Source organism: Homo sapiens, chromosome 11 (genome assembly GCF_000001405.40).
Source record: "Homo sapiens chromosome 11, GRCh38.p14 Primary Assembly".
In the NCBI taxonomy this organism is placed as follows: Eukaryota; Metazoa; Chordata; class Mammalia; order Primates; family Hominidae; genus Homo; species Homo sapiens.
In genome coordinates this window covers 83759981-83776388 of record NC_000011.10, presented here as the reverse complement: position 1 = coordinate 83776388, position 16408 = coordinate 83759981, and the positions used below count along the sequence as shown (strand labels likewise).

Here is a 16408-nt window from a genome sequence, read left to right as displayed (position 1 = left end):
TGTTCACATCACAGCAATCCAGCTTGCAGGACAGAGCAAGACCCTATCTGTAAAAAAGGTAAAATAAAAAATAAAGAGGGGTGGCAGAATAGGTAGAGAGAAGTAGATAGATTCAGGGAAGGATGTAGGTGATAAAACCAATAGACATAAATATGGACCTATGAATACATAAATTCATCCTTTCCTGAAAACATGGAAAGCATGATTGGCTAATTAAAAAATTAACAAACCCTTCACAGAAAAGCATGTTTTATTCATCTTTATTTATTTATTTATTTTATTTATTTATTTATTTTTGAGACAGAGTCTCGCTCTGTCACCCAGGCTGGAGTGCAGTGGCACAATCTCTGCTCACTGCAAGCTCCACCTCCTGGGTTCACACCATTCTCCTGCCTCAGCCTCCCGAGTAGCTGGGACTACAGGCTCCTGCCACCACACCTGGCTAATTTTTTGTATTTTTAGTAGAGACGAGGTTTCACCGTATTAGCCAGGATGGTCTCGATCTCCTGATCTTGTGATCCGCCCGCCTTGGCCTCCCAAGGTGCTGGGATTACAGGCGTGAGCCACTGCGCCCGGCTATTCATCTTTATATTCCTTCTTTTTCCTTAGTACAGTGTCTGGCTAATAGTAGGCATTTAAATGTAGACCAAATTGAAAAAAAAAAAAAGAATAATGACAATGAACTTATTTTATATAAACTCTGTTTTTACTTTTTAAAACAATGTGTAGCTAAAGCAGAGTAAAATATAGATGAGAGAAAAAGAAAGATGTAGAGAGAATGGGACATGGTTACAAGAAGAGAATAATTAAAACTCGCATGTATGAAGCACTCACTACAGGCCTGACACCTTTCTAAAAATCTCTGCATGTGTTAACTCATTTAAACTTTGCAAAAACTTGTGATATAGGTTATATTCCCTTACTCATTTTACAGATGAGGAAACTGAGACACAGAAAGCATAAGTGGTTTTCCCGAGGTTAAAAACTATACAGTAGAGTAAAACAAAGTTTCAGTCTCAGGCAGAAAGGCTCCAGAACAACCCGTGCACCATCCTGTTTCTCATAAAAGGAAGAAAATATAAACAGATTCATGCTGTAATAAAAGGCTTGAAGAGGAAACAAATAAAATAGTTTGGAATGGGTGTGGAGAAACCAAAAGAAAAAGATGCCAGGAGAGGGATATGGAGGGACAAAATTTGTCAGACAAGGAAATAGAGTTAGGAGGGTTCATGCTGGTGGAGTTGGAGAGTTTAGCACCCAGTTGTAAATGAGAACGGAGTCCGACAGTAGCGGCTTGGAGTAGGGCCTGGATTAGGAGCAGATGCGGGCTAGGAGAGTATGTCTTCTTTCTCTTTTTAAAATTGTTGTTGTTCTTTTGGGGGATATGGGAGTCTTGGGCTTGGCTCTAGGAATAGTTTGGCTCTAGGAATAGTTTGGCCCCAAGCTGTCATAAAGGCAAGCAGAGGGCTCACCACTTGCTAGCTGTGAGACCTCAAGTGAGTGACAACCTCTCTGTGCCAGAGAGTCTTCACCAGGAATGTAGGGGTAATCATATTTACCTTCCAGAGTTGCTGGAAGATTAGTGAAAATGGATGTAGAATGTTCAGAATGGAGTAGGCCATGCGTAAATGACAGCTAGTGTAATAACCTTCAACACATATTTGAGTGAGCATTGTGCTGCCCTTTGCTCTAATCAGCCCTTTGCACCATACTTAGAACTATCCCTGAGAGGGTCAAAGAGCTTCACAGAGTTTGGGAAGCAGCAGTAGTTAAGAATTTCCTTACTTCCTGCTGATGGGCCTGAAATATAGGAAGAAAAAAAAAAGAATTCCTACTGTGAAATCGGATAGATATGTTCAAATTCCAGCTCCACCATTAACAGCTCTGTAGCCTTGGAAAATTACTTCACTTCTTGGAGTCTCATTCTTTATCTGTAAAATGATGATTCATACCTATCTCACAGGATGACTCTGGGGATTAAACGAAGGCGTACATATAAAATGCCTGGCACTGTCCTGACAGATAGTATGTCCTCCATAAGCGATAATTATCGTTATTATCATAATTATCAGAAACAACAGAAACCCTATAATGTGGCTATTATGTGGAGAGAGAGATAATTAGACCCAGAGGAGGAATGGAACTTGAGAAAACCCTTGGGAGACTGTGGATGCAGGCACTTACAGGATGTCTTCAGTATCAAAACTGATGTGGAGATAACGCCCTGTGTGGAAGTTTCAAATAAACTGTCCTCTGAAGAGTCCTGGGGTCTGGCAGAGGGATGGCAGGAGCAGGGATGGGGAGTGTAGGAGGAGACAACCTGGCCCCTGGCCCCAGTCCCACTCCAGCCAGAGCAATCTTTATTTGTTTTTCATGTTTGGTCTTGGATACATGAAGCAAGGATCTTACCACCAAAAAACAGTTTTAAAGCTGTTTATCAGAAGGCAAGAAATGCTCTTCAGATTAAGGTATTTGTGTGCTTAGGATGAAAAAAGCTGTAAGCTCAGTTATTTTTCCAGTAGAAAGTAACCTCCATGAGAGCATCATGTTTTGTCTGTCTTGCTCACAGCCGTGTCCGAAGTGCCTAGAGGAGCACCCAGCACAGAGTTGGCACTCAATACATATTTGTGGAATGAACAAATGGGCCAAAAAAATGACCATACCTTGCAGTTTCTCTTCGAACTATGGGTAACAAAGTAAATTCATCCCCGCTGAAATGCTTGTTGGGAGTTCTGTTAGTTAACTAGAGCTCCCAAATATTGATCTTCAATGCCGAAAAATAGCCATTCTATGGGAGCAGATTTTCTTTGCTTCCAAGAATGATTCTGACACTCCTGCTGACCAGGTTAACTAAAGACAAACACACACTCAGTTTTACTTTGGTTGTTTGGTGCATGAAAGCAAAAGATTAAGCAAACAAATAAACATATTTCGTAATGATCTTAATAGTGGCTTTGAGAATTTGAAAATAGAGTCTTGGAAACATTAATTGAAATATAAAATATTAGCTAGCACAAGTATAAGACTTTGCAGTTTACAAAGCGCTCTCATGTGTGTTTCTTATTGAATCTACAGAACAACTCCAAGAGGTAAATATACTGGTGGTATTATCATCATTGTAATTTCATAGATAAGAGAAGTTAAGCTCAGTGAAGTTAAGTGACTCGCTCAAGGTCACACAACTAGTAAATACTATGAGCCAAACTTGCACCCAGATGCTCTGGTTCCATTTCTTGTGCTCTTTCTTCAGCATCATACTCTAATTAATTTTATTATCCAAATAATAACTAGCTGGAGCATAGAATTATCAGGCTTTCCATAAGTTTGCTAATCATATTTTGAGAAAACTTATTTACCTGTTTGATGAGTGAATGCTTGGTGGTATATTAACTTTATTTTTAATGCTAACATAATATGTGGGTTCAAAAATCAAAATAATATTAAAATGTGTACACTGAGAAGTCACATATCCTCTTCGTCTCCATTGATCCCAATTTCTTCTTGCCCCTATTAGTAGCCAGTTAAATTAATGAGAAACTTATCTAAATAAAATCTGAAACTAAGACCATAGAGGAATACAGGTAAATCTTATTGGTATTATTTTAAAGAAGAAAAAAACACTTAACAGGAGAATGTGTAATGGCCTGGGGAGTTAAGGAATGAAACATTGTGATTTCTTAGTTGGCTTACCACTGACACCTGCTCTTCATGCCTAAAGATATTTTCCCAAATCAGAAATAATTTTATAGCATTAGATCTTCCTTCTTTCCTTTCTTCCTTCCTTCCTTTCTTCCTCTCTCTCTTTTCTTTCTTTCTCTGTTTCTTTCTTTCTCTTTCTTTCTTTTTTCCTTCCTTCCCTCCTTCCTTCCTTCTTCCCTTCCCCTTCCCCTCCCCCTTCTCCTTCCTTCCTTCCTTCCTTCCTCCCTCCCTCCCTCCCTCCTTCTCTTTTTTTTTCTTTTCTTTTCTTTTCTTTTTTATTGAGACAGGGTCTTGCTCTCTCACCCAGGCTGGAGTGCAGTGATGCAAACTCAGCTCAGTGCAACTTCCACCTCCCAGGCTCAAGGGATCCTCCCACCTCAGCCTTCCAGGTAGCTGGGACCACAGGTGCACATCACCATGCCCAGCCAATTTTTTTCTATTTTTGGTAGCAACGGGGTTTCACTATGTTGCCCAGGCTGGCCTCAAACTCCTGAGCTCAAGCGATCTGCCTGCCTCAGCCTCCCAAAGTGCTAGGATTACAGGCATGAGCCACCGCACCCGGCCTAGATTTTTCTTTCAATGTGACTATCATAATAACCAATCTTCTGTAGATTGCCAAGGGATCACAAGTTACAAAAGAAATCTCCATGCAATTGTACTTCATTAACTGGTGTGATTTTCTAGAAAAAAAAATGGAACACAATAATCTTTAAAGAGGTTACTGGCATCTAAAGGGATATGAAATCAAGGTTAAAACCACCCCATTCCCTTGGAAATATGTGCAAAAATTAACCAGTTTCATATCATAGACATCTTCATATAAAGATATTTATAATCCGTTTTCATTATGCAATAGTCAACGCGTAAATACCTCTGTTGAAGGTCACTCAGAAGAACTGATTTTATAAATGATTGATTTCTTGGTAATAGAAATAATCATACCCCATTTATCCAAATTTTTAAAATAATCATGCACCACAAAATAATGTTTAACAATGGATCACATATACAACGGTGGTCTTATAAGATTATAATACCATATGTTTATAGTACTTTTTATATGTTTAGATATACAAATACTTACGTTGTGTTACAGTTGCCTAGAGTATTCAGTACAGTAACAGTAACATGCTGTACATATTTGTAGCGCAGGAACAAGAGGCCATACCACACAGCCTAGTTGTCTATTAGGCTATACCATCTAGGTTCATGTAAGTGCACTCTGAGATGTTCCCGTGACACCAAAAGACATAATCACCATTGTTAAGCAACACATTGCTGTATTTTTATTTTCTTTTAAACACTTGAATTTCCTACAAAAAAGAAAAAGAAATATTTGAATTTCTTAAAAATAGGCATTCTTCACTGTGGGAGATTTTCCCAGTATGCAAAAGAAGGAGTAGTAGGGTTTTAGAGACAATTCCCCACTGTTGTATACTTAGTAATGAGCAGCAGAAACACAAAGAGCATTCTAAAAGAAACACAATTATCTATAAAATTGCAGACAAATAGTTGCTTTAGGTAACTATTAGTGAGAAATAATGAAAGTAGTGTGTCTACACTATCATTATCAAAACAAAGCTGAAACAAACTCCAAAGAAATGAAGATGTGAAGATTATTGGGAGGGGTGTGGGAGACAGAAGGACGTGCTGAGAAAATTGCTGAGGAAAATCAAATGTTTTCAACTTGGATAGTTCTATTTATCATTAGGAATGCATTTTTCCCTCCTTCTAATAGATTCAAGAGAAAACGTTTTTAATAGTCTGCTGACATATGGATGTTTAATTTTCTTATTGAAAGCAAAAAAAGTGGATTTTCTTATTAATCTCTTATTTGTTCGTTTTGTGATTGTTGATGTTGAAATATTAAGGATACATTATTGTAATTTTTTCTCACAATTTGTATTTTCCATCTTTGACTTTCTTAACTATAAACCAAAAATAAAAAGTAAAATTTTACAGAAAGCCTGAGAGTACAGAACAAGCTATAAAGAAAATCAAGTATAATATCTGGCTTTTAAGCATAATGTATATTATTTTATAAAACAAGAGCTGGTCTTTAGAAGAAAAAAAAATAAGCGCACTTATCAAGCATTTACTATATGTCAGGCAGTTTTCTTGGGCACTTTTCCTCTAAATTTATACATCCAAATGTATGTCTTCTCTTATCATCCTCTTCTCAGCTATACCTCTCCTTGAATGTTTACTCAAATGACACCAAATTGCTCATCCTTCACCCGACAGGCCTTGATGTTTCATCCTCTGGGGCTTAGTAATTATATTCTGCCCAGAATTCCCTTTTTCCTTTGCCTACTTAACACACCTTTACTTTCTTTTTTTTTTTAATTAAAGAACTTTTTAACTGGTTTACAAAGGAGGCTATAGACTACATTGAAACTAATCTTTGTACAAAAAGCAAAAAAACAAAAAAAAACACCAGACACCACGAGACAAAAGGTAGGAGGAAAGACAAGAAAGGAAGGTACAAAAGGAGCAGGAAGAAACTTACTTAGGGACAAGATTAGCATCATACAGGGGAAAGAGCAAGATGAGAGAGTATTTAAAAGCATTTACCCACACAGCCCTGGTGATAATTTAGTTGGAATCAACAACAAACACAGTATGACATTATTAAGAGGTTTTAAAAGGCAACAGTCATGTGGACGGGTTATTGCCAGTGTTAAGAGAGAAATAAACTTGGGTTTTTGGGCACCACAGATTGGAGCACCACCCCTCCATTCCAGAGGACAACAGACTTAGGAAGAGGAAGCAGGCCCTGGGGCAGCTGCCACTGGAACCCACCTTTACTTTCAAAGAACAAGGTAGGCGGGGCACAGTGGCTCACGCCTGTAATCCCAGCACTTTGGGAGGCCGAGATGGGAGAATCACCTGAGGTCAGGAGTTCAAGACCAGCCTGGCCAACATGGTGAAACCCCGTCTCTACTAAAAAATACAAAACTTAGCCAGGCGTAGTGGTGGGCGCCTGTAATCCCAGCTACTTGGGAAGCTAAGGCAGGAGAATAGTTTGACCCCGGAAAGAGAAGGTTGCAGTGAGCTGAGATTGCGCCATTGCACTCCAGCCTGGGCGACAAGAGTGAAACTCCATCTCAAAAAAAAAAAAAAAAAAAAGAAGCTAGAGTCATTCTCCTCTAGGAAGCCTTCCCTAACCATACACTCCATCCCCAGGAGAGGAACACTGCTTCCTCTGTGCTATCTCAGCATCTTGTGTTGTTGCCTTTCTCCCTCAGACTTGTACTTCATGTAAACAAGCACCTGACCTGGCCAGAGACTATGAGCTTCATGGGGGAAAGGAGTGACTCTAGTAGGAAGTCAATAAATGTTTGATGAATGATTCAGTCAATTGATCAATAAAAATTTGAGTGCCAGTAATATTTTTAAGCCTAAGCATCATGAAAATGGGTAGGTTCATGTGGAGAAGCTGATGGCTAGTCCTTAAAATAATAAAAATAAATGGTGAACTAACAAAGCCAAAGGAGAGGTTTTGCTCTACACCATCATGAAAGTCCACTTATGAAGGAATGAACTGGGTTCAAGGATTCAGAAAAAAATCACAAGTGAATGTAGAAAGAACAGGTAGTAACTAGTTATAATACTTGTTATCATTATGGAGTGCCCAGTATGTCTAAATATTTATGTACATTATGCCATTTAATTCTCACAAAGCACTGTAAACACTGTTATTCCCATTTTGTGAATGATAGAATAAAATCCCAGGGAAGTTACACAACAATTAAGTAGAAGAGGCAAAATTCTGATAATGGCCTGCCTGACTCTGGTGTCCATTTGAAACACCATATCTCCAAGAGGGGGCCAACAGCCAGATCTTAACTGCCAATCTCTGGGTCCTCACCTATTCCTCACTTCTTTAGAAGGAGAAAAAGGCCATGCTCCTTTAACTAGTATGGGCGAAGTTCATGGATTTTACAGCACTTTCCCTTCACAGCCTCATTAAACTTATATGCATGGCCTCAGGATCTGCTGAGCCACGTTGTGCTGCCAAGCCCTGGGGCTTTAGAATGATGCTTTGCTCTAAGAGAGCACTTTTCTTAAATCTGGCAAGTTGTTGCTTAATAAAATATACACCAACTATCTGAGCAATTGAGGGAAGAGGGTAGTGATTATGGTTTAAAACTGGATGTTAAAGAAAGCAGATTACCACCGAAGTGAGAATTTCTGAATGTCATTTGGTCTAAATGGAACTGTGATTAGGAAAAGAAAAGAGACATCTGAAAAAGTCATGAAAAGAAAAATAATAGCAATTTTGAATTTCAACTAAATGGGTGAAATCTGGGGGATCACAAATGGAAATACTTTCTAAAGCACCCTACTCTAAAGCATCTAATGTAGAAGGTACAGATGCAACAGGAAACTGCATGCAACCTTTAAGGAGCAAGATATTTGGCTCGTAATTAATAAATTCTATATGAATAAAGTTAAGTCAAATGTATATAAAAGATGTTGCTGAGGTTATAATCAGTCTGACTTTAGGCAGCAGCAAAATTTTTTCTTTTGTATAAGAAAAAAATCAGAAAAGAAAAAGGCTAAGAAGGATGAGTTTTATTGTCAGTAAATGTGCATTATCTCGCTAGTCCTAAATGTGAGATTATGGATATAATGGGCTTAATTAATGAGCCACTAGAAAGTAAATATTCAGAAAAAATCAAACTTACGTCTTATGAAGAGAGGCAAAGATGTTTGAGGACAGAGCAGAAGTCAAATGCAGTGCTTCTGCTACTTGGCTAGCTGCATGACCTTGTGATAGTTATTTAGCCTCTCCAACCTTCAGATTTCTCATCTGTGAAAAGGGACTAACACCTACTTCATAGGGTAATTTTGATGGACAAGTTATAATAATAATTTCCGGCTGATAGAAAGTATCCGGGAGGTATTAATTACTAAAATAATGAAAAAAAAAGTTAATCTTGCAAAGTGCCTACTGTATATCAGATAGGGTTCTATGTATTCCATGTATTAATTAATGTAATCCCTAAAACAAGCCTGTGAGATAGGGGCTATGATTGTTTCCTTTTCAGAGATGAAGAAACAAAGGCACAGAAAGGCTCAATAACTTGCCCAAGATCACACAGCAAAGTATTAGTGCTGAGATTAAAATTCTGGTCTGGCTGTAGCCTCCCTGCTCTTGACCATCAGAGCCTGCTACCTTTTTATTGTAAAATGATAGCCTGTTTTAGTTTCTTCACAGCATTTGTCACCACATATAATTACCATATTTATTTGCCATGGTCTTCCTTCTCCCAGTTGAAAATAAGCTCCATGAGAACAAGGACCTAATTGAATTATAACTGTAATCCCAGGTGATGGGATAATTCTCTAATCAAATAATTATTACTACCATGACACACATTTACCTATGTAACAAATCCTCACATTTTGCACATGTACCCCAGAACTTAAAAGTAGAGGGGAAAATATAAAATAAAATTTTATCCTAAAAAAAGAACACTACAGAATAATTAATCCCAAAATGTCCATATCCCAATACCTAAAACCTATGATTACGTCACCTTATAAGGCAAATAGGACTTTTCAGATGTGACGAAATTAAGGATCTTGAGATGAGAAGTCAATCCTAGATTATCTGGATGTGCCTAATCTAATCACAAGGGCCTTTTGATAGAAAAAGAGAGGCAGGAGAGTCAGAGAAGAAGATGTTATGACAGAAGCAGAGACCAGATTGACAGCCCGAGAAAGACTATACAGGGCATCGCTGGCTTTGAAGACAGTTTCTTCCCTGGACCTCTAGGAGGAATGCAGTGCTGTGGACAGATAATTTATTCCAGTGAAACCTATTTTTGTCTTCTAAACTCTAGACTCTCAGATAAATGTATGTTGCTGTGAGCTACTAAGAAAAAATGATAATAATTGTATTTACTACTGGTAAATAAGAATGTTAAGAAACCATAAAAGATGATGAGAGAATCAAGTTAGAAAAATGAAAGAAAATATATGTAAGAAATTAAGATTCTAAGAGACAATAGCAAACAAAAGCATTGCTAATAATGACTCAGAAGCATTCCCACAAATTAACAGGCAGTTTGTTAGAAAAGATAACCTTGGCAAAATACATGGTACCTGTATTTTCCCTCAATTGCTGATAATATAATTAAAGGCACACAATCTCATTTTTCCTCATTTTTCAAATTTATAAGAAGGAGGAACACAGTGGAATCTGCATTGCCATGGAACACAAAGAAGAATACCAAAGATAAATAGGCTTAACTCATAACTCATTATAAAAAAAAAAAAAAAAAGGCAGGCCAGGCATGGTGGCTCACACCTGTAATCCCAGCACTTTGGGAGGCTGAGATGGGTGGATCATGAGGTCAGGAGATCGAGACCATCCTGGCTAACATGGTGAAACCCCATCTGTACTAAAAATACAAAAAATTAGCCAGGTGTGGTGGCACGTGCCTGTAGTCCCAGCTACTTGGGAAGCTGAGGCAGGAGAATTGCTTGAACTCGGGAGGCAGAGGTTGCAGTGAGCCGAGATCACGTCACTGCACTCCAGCCTGGGTGACAGAGTGAGACTCCATCTCAAAAAAAAAAAAAAAAGCATTCAGTGGAATCTCCCAAGATTAGTTTTAATATTCATATTGCTTCTAAGAAGAAAATATGATAATAGCATTTGTCAACATCCAAGTAACTGAGCAAAACACAGTGTCAAGGAAATAAATAAAATGGACATTGTATGCTGTCAAGTGTGCTCTCAAAATTTCATGTGAATCTACTTTTTATTTATTATCTACATCTACATTCCAGACAAACATACACTATCACTATTGAGTATATTTGGGTAGCAATTCTAATACCTTAACTTTCCATTGGTGCACAAAGGCAACAGTTTTCTATCTCTGTTCAGTTGGAGAAACTCAATTGTACATATATTGTGCCTCCTATGTTCCAGCCCTTTGCTAGGCACTAGGAACAAAGACACAGCTCTCACTCTCATAGGCTGAAAAAGCAAGGTCTACTTGGCTACCATGTTTGTCTGTCTGAGACATCTGTCTACATCTTGGATTCTAATGCTGCATTAAATATCTAACCTCTGTTAAAACTGAAGGTATGTTGTTAGTATCATAGGCCCAAATCCAGCCTATGGTGTACAAATGGACACTTTTGTGATTTCTGTTAAACGCCAACCCCAAATCAAAAGCCATTTTCCTTTCTGGATATTAAACAACAATCAAGAGCCAGAATTTTGATTTAGAATGTATTTATAGTATGGAATTTTAAAAGGTAAATATTTCTCCTTTTCAAGACAGAAACTCAGATATCAGGATTATTTTCAGAACAAATCTGCTGCCTCTCAGTATTTTGATTAATTCCTCTAGCAGTAATTTCTTAAAGTATTTGTTTTTAATTCTGTATCCCATCAAGATGTTAATTTTCCATCAAGAGTTTTAGAGAAAATGTGGGCTTAAAAAAATTGTTTTAACACACTGATAAAATAATTCATTTGACATATAGCTATGAGCAGTTCCCCAGGACTTTCTTTAGGCTATATTTTACAATGCCAGGACAAAAAAGAACAAAGAAAGTCAAACATTACTTTTTTCTAACCTGGGATTTGAGGGTACAGGGGAGATGTCATTTTAATACTATAACAGAACATGTAATTTTAAGTAAAGTTTTTAATTGTATTTCTAAAAACATGGATCATATCCAAGTCAAATCTAGAGAGTGTGCCGGCCATCTCTGCCTGACCACACCTACAGGGCAGGCCTATCAGCCTATCATTCTGCAGCCTGAGAGCCGAGTTTGTCTCTCCTCAAGTCTGGGACAGACCACAGACATCTGGCTTCAAAGGCCATAGTATTGTAATGACTAAAATAGAGAACACCTCCTGAGTGAAGAAAGATGCACTGAAATGAAGTGATCAAAGCACAGACTCTGGAACCAGAGTCCTGTGTTCAAACCCTAAATCTGTCACTTACTAGCTGTGAGACCCTGGGAAAGGCACTTCACCTCTTGGTGTATCAGTCTCTTTATTAATAAAATTGAGATAATAGTAGCTATGTTATAAGATAATTTTGAAGATTAAGTAGGTTAATGTTTATAAAGCTCTTACAATAGTGACTCAATGATAATAAATCCCAAGTGTTGACAGGCAGAAAGATAGAGTAACTCCCATCCAACCTCACCACCACAGCAAGGTCAGTGACATTTGCCTTCTCCCTTCCCTGCACACCCCTTTGGGGCAACTGGCCTTTGTGATTTCCATTTCTTTTCAGCACCACTCATTCAAATTGCTTTAATCTGATTTTTTGGCTAAATATATTCATTCATTAAACAACCATATATTGAATGTCTATGATACATCAGCACTTTGAAGTTCCAAAAGCTGGGAGTGGTAGGGTAGGAAGCTTCTCCCTCCTGCTGTCTCACAATCATTACTCCCTCCACAATCACTCCCACCGTGATTTTCTCAGCTCTGCACCTGTCTCAGGGGATCTGGTAGCCAATGCTTATGTGATTCCAGCCATGCGATAGTACTGCTGTGATTTTACATAAGCTGGTATGAGGCATACTCCCATTCATTAAGAAATGGCTTCTCTTTCCTAAATAACCCATCTGTAGTTAGAATCCACCAAACAGTTTTCAGAGGCTCTTGTTCAAACAAATGGCCAACATGGGCTTACCTGAAAGATAAGTTCTGAAATATCTTGAACTGGTCTAAATTAGGTGCAATGACTGTTCTATAAATGGAACCACTTTATAAGAATATGAGATCCGGCAAAATAGACAATCAATATTTTTAAAATGAGTTAATAATATGACAGGACCAGTGAGAGAAGAAGGACAGACAATATTGTAGGAACCATTGTGCCTGACTAGAGAGAAATTTCAAAATAAAGAGTGGGATATGGGTCCTGGGGTAATTAACTTTGAGTCTAAAATGCAGCTAATGTGGGATACAGCATTATATGTTATATTCCATTTTAAAAACCTGCCTATTTTAACTATAAGGTATGATCAACTGTAAGATGCAGCCTTATTTCAGGTATATAAAAATGTGGAAAAAGTTGCCTTTTACAATTGATGAAATATGGTGATCATTCACATTTTCCTTGCAACTCACATGGTGAACAGTCACATGTGGCATAAGTGAGATTGGCTGTGGGTTTTTCTATGCATTTATGATAAGTTCACTCCTTTCATTCCTAATGAAGAGAGCAATTTGCAATGCAAGCAAAAGTAAGAAGGAAGCTATAATAGAAACAATCTTGATTCACACTAATTTATTAAAAATCTGTTTTGTGAGAATGCATGGACATAAAGAAAAGAATGAGACACTGGAGTCTACTTGATGGTGGAGGGTGGGAGGAGGGAGAGGATTTAAAAAAAATCTATTGAGTATTATCCTTATTACCTGGGTGACTAAATAATCTGGACACCAAACCCCCACAACACACAGTTTACCTATATAACAAGCCTGCACATATACGCCTAAACCTAAAATAAAAGTTAAAAAAATTCTTAATTTCAGTTCTTTGTACATAATTGCTAAAACGTGATGTAACAGTATGTAATGCACCATAGGGGAGAACTGATGTCCCAAGCTAGCAAAAGGGTAGTATGGCAGCCCTTTATAGGGAACTTTGCCTTCAAGGGTGGACAGGGAGGTTGCTGCTCAAAAAGCCAACCTGGCAGATGGGAACAGAAAATAACAAAACAAAACAAACAACTACTTGCTTGAAACTATATCACAGACTCTGACTCAGATGTTCAAAGCTTCTAAGAAGCTGTCATATAACAATTTAATACTTGGCCAGGCACATTGGCTCACGCCTGTAATCCCAGCACTTTGGAGGGCCGAGGCAGGCAGATCACGAGGTCAGAAGATCGAGACCATCCTGGTTAACATGGTGAAACCCCGTCTCTACTAAAAATACAAAAAAATTAGCCAGGCGTGGCGGCATGCGCCTGTAGTCCCAGCTGTTGAGTAGGCTGAGGCAGGAGAATGGCATGAACCCAGGAGGCGGAGCTTGCAGTGAGCCGAGATCATGCCACTGCAGTCCAGCCTGGGTGACAGAGCAAGACTCCGTCTCAAAAAAAAAAAAAAAATTAATACTTAATCTCAACACTTAGGTTTGCCATTGTCCTTATCATGAAAATTACTACAATTCCCAAACTCATGGCACAAACATGTGTTGACAAAATCTATATACAAAATGTGAGGTATAGTCGACAAAATCTTTAGAACAAAATGTGAGGTGATGCTAGAATGTGGTGACAATTTTGCCCTAACTTAATTGGAAAGCCATTGTAACTTGAATAGAATGGTCCACCTGCAGCATGGTCTTCCCTGCTCTGTCACATAGCATCAGAAAGGACCAGATACTTGTTAAGAACATCTTTAAACTGTGTTGTTTATGCTTTTGTTTTTGAGTCAGCAATCGCTGACAGATTTTAGAAACTGGCGGGAATAAAGAATCAGACATTTAATTTGGCAGGGCAGTCTTGTACTTCAGATAAATGGATCTGGATTTGTGATGCCTTCTTCAAAATATTAATTTCTCTTTTGAAACCAAATCATATTTGGCTTCAATATCTTATTTAAAATGCATTTTTACTTACATATCATCTGCTTTGAGCTCTTAAATAGCCTGGGAGTTAGATCATGGACTTTGAGCTTCTCAAGGATTAGAACAGTGTTCTTCTCACGGTTTGTTGGTACTTGCCCAGCATCTGGTAATTACAATAACTCCCTGGGAGATTCAAGGGAAAATTTCAAGCCAAGTAAGAACTGGAAGGGAAAGACCTCCACATCCAAATAAAGATACATTTTATTTAAGTAAGATTTGTTGAGTTGCTATGCTGTTGTGGGATCTGTGCTAGGTAGTGAGTTTATGAGGATGAATGATACAGCTCCCGGCCTCCATGTTTCCCATGTATTAGGGAACACACAACAGCACGTTGTCAAGGGTGATCCAATAGGGGGAAGCACAGGGGGATTAGAGATGTCTATGTAGCCATTTGCATTCAATCAGAAGGAGTCTAGGAGCAGTTAGTCTAGGACCTGAGATATGATGTTGGGGGTAATGGGAAGTAGGAATCCAATTCAGACAGAAATACATGCATACAAATGCAATTCAGACAGAAATAAACAACAGGAACAAAGCTTCAGAGAAGAATGAACAGGGTGCATTTGTTTCAGAGACTATCATTATTCAATATAATTGTAAGTTGCAAATTGTAATTGTAAATTAAGGCATCAACTTGGGATTGGCCAAATATCAGACTGGCAAGGAACCACTAATAGAACTCGAAGTGAATTATTTGTGGAGAATTTAACATAGGAGTTATTTACCAAAAAGTGGGCCAGATGTATTAACACTTGAGAGGTACTCCAGGACTATTAAGTATGGGATTGTTACCCCTCCTAGACGGGGTGTCCTTGTAGCAATTATCCAACTGCAGAGATTCTCCTAAGGAGACTGCAGTGAGGAATCCAGCAAATAAATGCCCATTCTCACTGTCATTCTGCTTCTCATCTCCTGCTAGTGTTGTCCCTTTGCCAAACCCAACCAGAAGCCATATGTGCTCCATGCTTATCAGCTTCCCAGGCACAGATCAGAGTGAAGAAGGGTGGAGAGCTGAGAAGCCAACAAGCAAAATCTATACAGCATAAATCTGAAAAGAAAAATTTGGCTAAACCTTGAAAGGTCTTGTATCTTCTGCTCATTGTCTTATACCTTAAGACAATGAGGTACATTCAAAGGGTGTTAAATAAGGGAATATTTTTATAGAGACAACCCATGATGTACTTGATGTAGGCAGAAAGGTAGGGCAAGACTAGAGAAACAAGGAGGAGTTAGTAAGCTGCTACAGTTGTCTAGGCAAGGGACCGTGGTGTTGAACTGGGAAGATGCCAGTGGAAATGGAAAGAAGGGACTGGATTTGTGACTGATCTATTTGGAGACAGTTTTTTGTTGTTGTTGTTTTTGTTGTTGTTTTTCTGTTTCTGTTTTTAGAATAGATGGAGATGGTGGGCCAGGAGCAGTGGCTCACACCTGTAATCCCAGCCCTTTGGGAGGCCGAGGCAGGTGGATCACCTGAGGTCAGGAGTTTGAGACCAGCCTGGTCAACATGGTGAAACCCTATCTCTACTAAAAATAACAAAAATTAGCCGGGCGTGGTGGCAGGCACCTGTAATCCCAGCTCCAAAAAAAAAAAAGAATAGATGGAGATAGTGAGATTAGAGAAGAAAGTGAGCAGGCATTGAACTGGAAGTCTAGAAATGAGAAAGAATATGTGTTTAGGACTTGGTCTCAGCTTTTGCACTATGCAGCTAAGTGATCCAGTTGATCCAGCCTCTTTTGAGCCTCAATTTTGTTATCTGCCAATAATGGGAATATAAGCTGGACTTCTTAAATTCTTAAATTTAGTATTCTGTTCTTTTTCATTCATCATAAGCCTGGAGACAATTTCTGCCCACCAGGTGAAAGGCTTTTAATGAACTGAGCATGTCAAGGGAACTTCAGGAATTCACAAGAAGAGTCTGAGGATATTGCTCAGCTGAGGGTCTTTTGGATGTTGAGTTTGTTTATTAAGCAATTCAACTGTCAGTGCCTTAGATTTTAATGTAAGGGAATAGAAGGCCACCCATGGAGGGAAAGTTAGTATGTCCTCTCTGCCTTCTAAATATCACAAACCATATTGAATA

General features: G+C 38.5%; 1 protein-coding gene across 53 annotated transcripts in view; it reads left to right on the top strand.

Annotated features, from left to right (window-relative positions):
• DLG2 (discs large MAGUK scaffold protein 2) overlaps nt 1-16408 on the top strand; it is a 2173362-nt gene that overhangs the window by 1851985 nt on the left and 304969 nt on the right. The window lies entirely within an intron of this gene.